Raw genomic sequence first — 9,315 nt, forward strand, 5'->3', positions numbered from 1 at the left:
TAAATCAGAATCTGCATTTTAACAAAATCCCTAGGTGATTTGTATGCAAATTCAAGAAAAAGAGGCACTGATTTAGGCTCTGTCTATGTTACGTAAATCATTTTTGTATATAGCTTTTAATTTGTTATACTAAAATCACTCTGGAGAATCTTAAAAAGGAGATTGAGAAAAAAATTCTGTGAAAGTACATTTGAATTAAGTTCCTTGTGGTGTGTGTGTAGTTTTATACATGTGTTGCTAGGAGTCAGGAGTTCGTGCAGTGAGTGATTTATTTATTTAAAAAGTAGAGAAATATGCTGGTATCAGCGTCACACAGGTAAAGTCATTAGGCGATGCCGTGCAATGAAGATAAATGCAAAGGCAGTAGACTTCCTCTGGAAGATATTGTGGAAGAGGAAAATTGGAAGAGCACAGGTTTTGCTATCACCATGAAGTCAGTCACTGGAAGAGGAAGGAAGCTCTGCAGATGACAAAAGCACCTGAGGACACCCGAAATATCTCTTGGTGCTGGTGCACATTTGAGCAGTAGCTCAGAGGAGTGGCATCATTGAGGAGGAGGATACATGTGTTAAGCACCCTGCTGGCCAAGGTATGGCCCGGATGTTGGAAACTGGCTGTAGAGCCGCAGTGGTTCCTGATATTAAAGAAATGTTGTTTAAAGCTGTTTTTCTTACACCCTATTTGCCTTTGAAATTTTAAAAGCATTCACTTTACACATCTGTTTTGCCTTTTTACAAAACTTTTTTTAAAGAGAGCCCTCTGCCACCAAAATATGCTTGACCTCATCATCCTGAGATCACTGCTATCAAAATATTTGGTGTATATTTTTTCCCTAGCTAATTTGTGTGTGTATATACATTCTATATAATTGTTTTATTGTGTACAATTTGTGTAACTATTATCTGCTTTAAAGGTTTAACAGTACCTTTTTCTGTCATTAAATAGTGTGCAAAAGCATGTGTAGTAACTGCACTATATGACTGTCTCTGGTCAGAGCATAAATTTCTTCACTGGTCTCCTGTACAGCGGTCTGCAAACTTTTAAGTGGCTAGCTAATACATATTTTTAGACTTTGCTGGTGATATGGTCTCTGTCCTAACTACTGGACTCTGTTTTTTTAGAACAAAAACAGCCGCAGCTGTAAGCAAAAAAAAAAAGTGAGCTCAGCTTTGTCCCAGTGAAATTTTTCTTGCAAAAACCAGGCCTGCAGGTCATAGTTTGTCCTCCTTTGTCTAATGGAACCTTAGGTTGTTGACGTTGTTTCTGGTCATGAGCTGCCTTTTAACATCTTTGCCCAACACTAGTTTCCACATAAATCAATCCCTACAGTGGATGTTTCTTTTAATTCATATAGTCCTCCAGAAAGTTTTTCCAACTTTGGGTTCTTGTAAGTTTTTGAGGATGTTTATTCCTCTGGAATATTGATAACACTGGTTATTTTTAATTATCAATTTGATATGTCGAAGGTGATAACGAGTATTTCATGTTTCTTGAATTACTAGTGAGGTTGGTCATCTTTTCATGCTTTGTGAATTACCTTTTCATGAGATTTACTCTTCCCTAGTATACTCATGTTTAAAAAATTGTTTTTAGACCTTGTAGGAAAACCATGTTATGTATTTTTCATGTTTCAATTTACTGTTTTGATTTTTACATAAGTTTTATATTTGTGTAAAGTCACAGCTGTCCATCTTTTCTATAATTTTTTTTCATTTATTTGGTACCAAAGGCAATCTTTTCTGTAATTTGCAAGTTTGATCATGCTTAAGAAACCCTTTACTAAACCACTGTTATGAAAATAGAAACCTGTGTGTTCTCATAGTATTTCTGTGGTTTAGTTTTGTATCAATATTGGAGGTTGATACAATTTTTTAACTTTTGGGGAAAGTTATTAGGAGTAATACTAGAGAGAAAGTCCAGTGTTTATAGGATAATACACATTTCTCATGGAAATTTAGAAGTCAAGGATATGAAGCTTGTATCAAAAGCCTAAACGGGCTGGGCATGGTGGCACATGACTGTAGTCCCAGCTACTTGGGAGGCTGAGGTGGGAGGGTCGCTTGAGCCCAGGAGGCTGAGGTTGCGGTGAGCCGAAATCACACCACTGCACTCCAGCCTGGGTGACAGAGTGAGACCCTGTCTTCAAAAAAAAGGTGGGGGTGCTAAACAACAGTGGTATGATCTCTTGCAGCATAGGATGATTTCAGCTTCAAAATTTCAAAAATTCACAAAAGACAAAGGACAACTAGAAGGAAGTTAGATGGGTATATGTATTTTAAAAGGGACAGGGGAGCTCTTATAATGAAGAGGTGGTGATAGAGGGGTAGTAGGATGGGTGGAAGATAGACTGAGTGGGGGGCGGGCGGGGTGGGGGAAGGGATAGGCCAAGAGTAGCCTATTTGTGGGCAGACAAGACACCAAAAATGCCAGTATTCTAGAATGCTTATACTGTCCAAACAGCCTCTCCTGGAGAAGCACTTTGTTATTGCTAATCTGAAATTTAGTCATCTATGTGAGGGAACTGCAGGGATTAAAATGCTAATTCACTGGATGAGCTGGATGATTTAGTTGGAAGTTTTTATAAGGAAGAGCCAGAAAGAGTTGCCCATTTGATAGCTTTAGAAAAATCCTCAAGAAAGTGTGTTACGATCCCATGCATGGTGCCGTGTCTTAGCTACAAGGGTTTGATCCTGGATTCACCATAGGTTATTAAGAAAGTAATCATTTATTTTTTAAAGGCAGCAAATACTTCCTGAGAATAGACAACTCATAAAGCATATAAGGGATAAAGAGAAGCATAAAGGGCCTGCCCAAAAGGAGATTATGACTTATTTTAAAAGAATAACACATGCCAAGCGCAGTGGCTCACGCCGGTAGTCCCAGCACGTTGGGAGGCCGAGGCGGGAGGATCACTTGAAGTCAGGAGTTCGAGACCATCCTGGCCAACATGGTAAAACCCCGTCTACTAAAAATACAAAAATTAGCTGGGCATGGTGGTGCATGCCTGTAATCCCAGCTAGGAGGCTGAGGCAGGAGAATCACTTGAACCAGGAAGTTGGAGGTTGCAGTGAGCTGAGATTGCGCCACTGCACTCCAGCCTGGTGACAGAGCGAGACTGTCTTAAAAAAAAAAAAACACATATACACATGGAGGGATAATTAAAAATAAGTTCCATTTTTTCCCCATTTTCCTCGTATTCTAGAATCATTAAAAGGAATAATGACATGTTTTATTGTAAAACTAATACACTTTCATGCTGGATCAGAGGTCAGTAAACTAGTGTACTGTCTGCTGGCTAAATCTGGCTAGTCACCTAACAAAGTTTTATTGGAACATAGTCACGCTCATTTCTTTACATATTGTCTATGTTGCTCTTGCCTTACAACAAGAGGTGTAGTTATGATAGAGACCTATGGCCCACGAAATCTGAAGTATGCCTTTACAGAAAAACTTTGCTGACCTCTGCTTTAGATAATTAGGCAAATGCAGAAAGTATAAAAATTTTAAATTGTCCATAATTTCACTTTTTGTTAGTTTATGTATGAACATCTTATGCACCAAAATGTAAAATGGTTTGTATGGTTGTATATGCATTTTTAACCACATATTGTGTCATTAAATATTGGGAAAACAAGATTTTTAATGCCTGAATAGTATAACGGATATACAGTAATTTAAACATTACCATTTCTAGTCTGCACTAGTACACATGATATTTTAATAAATACCATTCTACATAAATTTGTGTGTGTGTGCATATATATATATATATATATATATATATATATATATATAGTGTTGCTTTTTGTGAAAGGTTTTCAGGTGTAGACTTACTAGAATTAATATTTTCAAGATTTTTTTATCTTATGCCAAATTGCCCTCCAAAGACATTTTACCAAGTTTATGCTCCCACCATTAGAGAATATGAAAGTTCATTTTCCTCAACTTTTACTGTTGTGGAATTTATTTATTTATTTATTTATTTTGGAGACAGAGTCTCGCTCTGTCACCCAGGCTGGAGTGTAGTGGCCCAATCTCGGCTTACTGCAACCTCCGCCTCCCGGGTTCAAGCAATTCTCCTGCCTCAGCCTCCCGATTAGCTGGGATTACGGGCATGTGCCACCAAGCCTGGCTAATTTTTTTTGTATTTTTAGTAGACACGGGGGTTTCACCATGTTGGCCAGGCTGGTCTCGGACTCCTCACCTTGTGATCCACCCACCTCAACCTCCCAAAGTGCTGGGATTACAGGCGTGAGCCACCGCGCCCGGCCCCTCAGTTGTGGAATTTTTAAGTAGCCTTAGGCATTACTTTAAGCAAAAACAGTGTCTCATTGTCATTAAATTGCTAGAGAAGCTATTTTTCCAAATGTTAATTTGCTTGTTCTAGATCCACTTTTTGGATTTGCCTATTTATGCCCTGAGCACATTTAATTGCTTGTGTAAATGCAATATTTTTTCTGCTTGGAAACTCTTACATTCCCCAGTGTTAATTCCAAATGTAATTTTATTACCATCAGCTGTTATTTCTAGTTACTTATTCATGCTTCTGCTTTAGTATGATATTTATAATTCATTTATTCATTTGCTTCCAAATTAGGCTGTGAACTCTTCCATGGCAGTAGCTCTGTCAGTTACCTCTGGATTACTGTGACCACCACTGGACTAGGCACGTGCTAAACACTCAATAGATGTAGGTTGAATGAATGAATGGCTTTTGGATGAACCCGTGGCAAGATGAGAGTTGGCACTGGTAATATAACAGTTCTGAAAAGAGTTATCACTTCATACCGTTTGAAAATGTTATCTTCAGCACATCAAGTATATGCTATGAACCAAGAGCCAGGTTCGGTCCTGGGATTTAACAGTAAATAATACACAGTGGCTGTCCCGAGTTCTAGTGGAAAACTTGAAATTGTAAGTTACGGTGTAGTGAGAGATATAAACACAAGTGCTCAATAAAATAACTATGATAGAAGCTCAGGCACTGTGAATACACATAGGAGAGGCATCCAACCTAAACTGCAGCATTGAGAGGTTTCCTATAAAAGGAAATACTGAGTTAAGGCTTGAAAAATGAGGAAGAATTATCTAGTTCAGTGTCAAAAGAAATGCAGGCATTGAAATCACCTAGTGCAAAAATCTAGGGCTTGCAGGAAATGAGGCTTTAGAGGAATTTCAAAGTAGGGAAGAATGTAAGGAAGCTGGGGGCAAAATGATGAGAGACCAGGCTGCACAGATAGAAGTCAGATCTTGAAAGACTGCTGTTTCTTTTTAGGAGTCTTGGCTTGTTTTAGAGCAGAGTGAAGGACGAGTGATTAAGCATTGAAGGGTTTAAGCAGTTGAATATGATCAGATTTGCAGTTTAGAAATGACTTTGGATTTGCTGCAGAGCGGAGAATGGATTTGCTACAGGAATAAGACTGGAGGCAAGGAGACACTTGGTTTATAGAAGAACTTCCAGCTTCAGGTAATGGAGGAGTAATTCCTTTCTGACCAGGCCTCCCGTAACTCATTCTCAATTCTGGAAAAATACTGAAAGTAAAAGCACTGGAGAGCAACCAATAACAGGCAGAAACTGGAGGGGGAGTTGACACTGGAAAAAAATAGCACTGAGTGTTCTGTCTTTATAGCTTGTTGCCTGAACACAGGCCCCAGTTAACTTCATGTGAAACAACTAAAGCTTGACAAAAAATAAATAACTGTAATTGAACTCTACTTGTATATTTGACTGAATTTGGTATACACAAGGCAGACTCCAAGCAGCCCAGCCAAGGCTGAAAGAAAGAAACACAGATTTCTCCTGATGTTAATCTCAGGAATGATAGTTTGGACTTTTGAGTCCAGCAAAGTTTACTGCTTGGTAAAACAATAGTTTTCAGAGGAATATAATAGAATCCAGAGTCTTGGCAACAAATTAACACAATGTTTAAGATTGAATAAGAAACTAGGTGTACCAGAGGCCGATCTGAACAAAAAAATGTTCAGATAAGTATTTTAGGTGTTACAAGTATTTTAGGCCTCTGGTGCAACTGCTCAACTCTGCCATTGTAGAATAAATACAGCCATGTATAATATGTAAACGAATGGGCATGACTGTATCCCAATAAAACTTTATTAAAATGAACCACATACTGGATTTGGCCAGCAGGTCAGTTTGCCAACCCCTCAAGTATACAAAGAAATAGGAAAATTTGAGCCATACTCAAGAGAAAAGGTAATGAATAGAGACCAACACAGAAATAACCCAGACAAGGATTTTAAAGCAGCAAACACAATTATGCTTAAGCATGTAAAGGAAATATAAACAATGAATAAAAAGATAGGGGGAGGCCAAGGTGGGCAGATCACAATGTCAGGAGTTAGAGACCATCCTGGCTAACACGGTGAAACCCCATCTCTACTAAAAATACAAAAAATTAGCCAGACATGGTGGTGGGTGCCTATAGTCCCAGCTACTCGGGAGGCTGAGGCAGGAGAATAGCGTGAACCTGAGAGGTGGAGCTTGCACTCCAGCCTGGGCAACAGTGTGAGACTCTGTCTCAAAAAAAAAAAGGGGGGGTGGGGGTGGGGCGTGAAATTTTAGAGAAACTACCAGAGGGGTAAATGGGAATGATTAAGCCAAAAAATAGTCACTGAAATTACAAAAAAAGAAAAACAAACAAACAAAAAAACACTACTTGATGGATTTAACAGTAGATTTGAGATGACAAAGAGTCTGGGGCCTTGAAGATAGATCAACAGAAATTATCCATGAAAGGAAAAAGATTTAAAAGAAAACAAAAAGCCTGAGTCAGCCATGAAATAATACCAAAAGATCTCATTTATATGTAATTAAGTTCTAGGAAGAAAAAAGAGTGGGATGACAGAAGAAAAAATATTTGATGAAATAATGGCTAAAAATTTGCCCTCCTGAAAACTATAGATATGAGTCCAAAAAGGTTCGGAATCCCAAAAAGAAGAAAAATCTATTTGGCAAAACTATGGAGACAGTAAAAGGATCAGTGGTTGCCAGGAGTTACCTGGGGGAAAAGGGTGAATCGAGGGCACAGGTTATTTTCTAGTCTTTTGATACAAGAAATTGTACAGTGGAAAAGTATTATAAACATAGAGTATCATGCAACAAAAATGATGGACAAATTCCTATGCAATTAAGACTTAAGGCCATAAAGTATAGCACTACTAAGTCCTTGAGAGTGTAATTTTTGTCCGATAGTACATGCAGAAAAGACAAGAACTTGGATTAATCTAGGGTTGGAGTTTTGCTGGGCATGTGCAAGAAAAGGATAGTGGAGGATATTGGAAAGGAAATGATTGTCCTAGGAATGAAAGATGAATGAGGAAAGAATAAAGAACTAAAGGGATGCATTGAGCCAAAAATAGAGGGTTCAAATGGATAGGAGCTCTTCTAATGGTATGGAAGAACAGATGAATATCTGAATGGAAGGACTTAAAAGGATAAAAGTTATCTGGGGAAGTATGTTTGGACTTGAAATTTTAATGTAATTCTAAGTGATGACAAGTTTAAGATCTGACCTTGATGATTAAGTAGCTAAAATTCAGTGGGGGTGTGGTCTGTTAAGGATATTAAGGAAGTACGGTTAGGGTGCCTGATGGATTTTACGTGAAGATATAGGGGATCTACTGCTCATCAGCCTCAATGATGGTGGTGGAGTTGGGAGGTGATAATCACCATTGAATTGGAGGATTACCAGAGGTTAATAGATGACAGAAGAGAGAGAAGGTAGAAATTTTATATGAGGAATAAAATCTGGCAGGGGCAATGGGGAAAGGAACACCCATCCTGGATAAATGCAGTGTGAGGACATGATCAGTTTCCACTGGAGAAGACAGTAGGGTCAGATTCCACTTGAACCCTGCGGAGGGTTGGGGGTGGAGGGCAGTGTGAAGGTGGAGTATAGGCTCCATGGAATATAGGCTGGGAGCATCCCTGAAGTCCTGAGCATGTAATGGACTTGAGCCTGGAAAGCAGATTCTAGAGGTCAGCAATAAAGGTTTAACAAAAGAGAAGTGGTGCAAGGTTAGGTCTGGGAGGGAGCACTTGGAACAGTAAGGAGACAAGAATATTACAGGTGGAATAACTTGAGAAGTTTTCATCCAGTAATGTGAGGTATGGTTGAAACTGGCCACATTTCCCAAAAAATGAGTCCCAGCAGGGAGGGGCAGGAGAGGATGGGACCTTTCCTCTAAGACCAAATTGATTGCATTTCCAAAGGAGGCCTAGTTTGCATGCAGAGCACCCATAGATTTTGGTGAGAGGGACTCTTGCCATGGGTCCTGAGTTTTAAGGGGCTTAATTCTGATCCTCTTCTTCCATTCATGTGCCCATATTGGGGAAGGAATCCATGAAATGACCCCCTCCCTGGCTTGTCTTTCTTGTAGACCATGCCCCAGGCAACGAGGAACCCAGGGATCTCAGCTCTAACAGCCCCAAGCCCACTTCCAGGTGTTTGTAGCTCATCTAGATCCAAAGCATAGCCTAGTAGCTGCTGCTTGCCAGGAGGTAGGGGCTGATACGTGGCCAGAGCCTTCTTTTCCTTTTGGGAAAATTTATGATAAAATATGGAATACCCAGTTTACTTTGAATTTCAGAAAAACAATAAACAGAAGTATGTTCCATACAGTATTTTGGACATGCTTATACCAAAAATTTCTTTATTGTTTATTTGAAATTCGAATTTAACTGGGCATCCTGCATTTTTATTTGCTAAATCTAACAACTCTACTTCCTCTTGTTTTTCACAGGAAATAAAAAGAACACATAAACTAACATGAGAATGTATTTATATAAACAACTTTTAGGCTGTGTCAATTATGGCTGCACTACCATATAGTGAGAAGTCATGTTTATATGTCAGGGGTAGGATAATTGGTAGTTGCTCTTTCAAATGTAGATTTTTGTGCCCAGTGGTGAATTCTGCTCCCACATGTTACCAAGGACTCTACTTGCATGGGTTCCAGCACACACGGACTGGGCTCTTGGCCGCTTCTCCCCAGGACCCTCAGTACACATAGGTAAGAATGCTCTGTTCTTTCAGCTTGTCCCCCACCCCCTTTCAGGCTTCCAGCTTTACATTTATTTATTCACTCAACAAATATTTGCTGAAGATATACCGTGTATCTATATTGTACCACAGGCTAGGATAAACAACAGTGAAGACAAAAAGCAAGACCCCTACCTTTATGGAACTTAGTCCTAGTGAGGGAGAGGTTTTCCATCCGCTATTATCTTCACCGTACCCTTTAGTTTAGCACACGAGTTAGTTTCTCTTGGCTTTGATTTTGGCCTCCATCTAG

Source organism: Homo sapiens, chromosome 2 (genome assembly GCF_000001405.40).
Source record: "Homo sapiens chromosome 2, GRCh38.p14 Primary Assembly".
Taxonomy (NCBI): domain Eukaryota; kingdom Metazoa; phylum Chordata; class Mammalia; order Primates; family Hominidae; genus Homo; species Homo sapiens.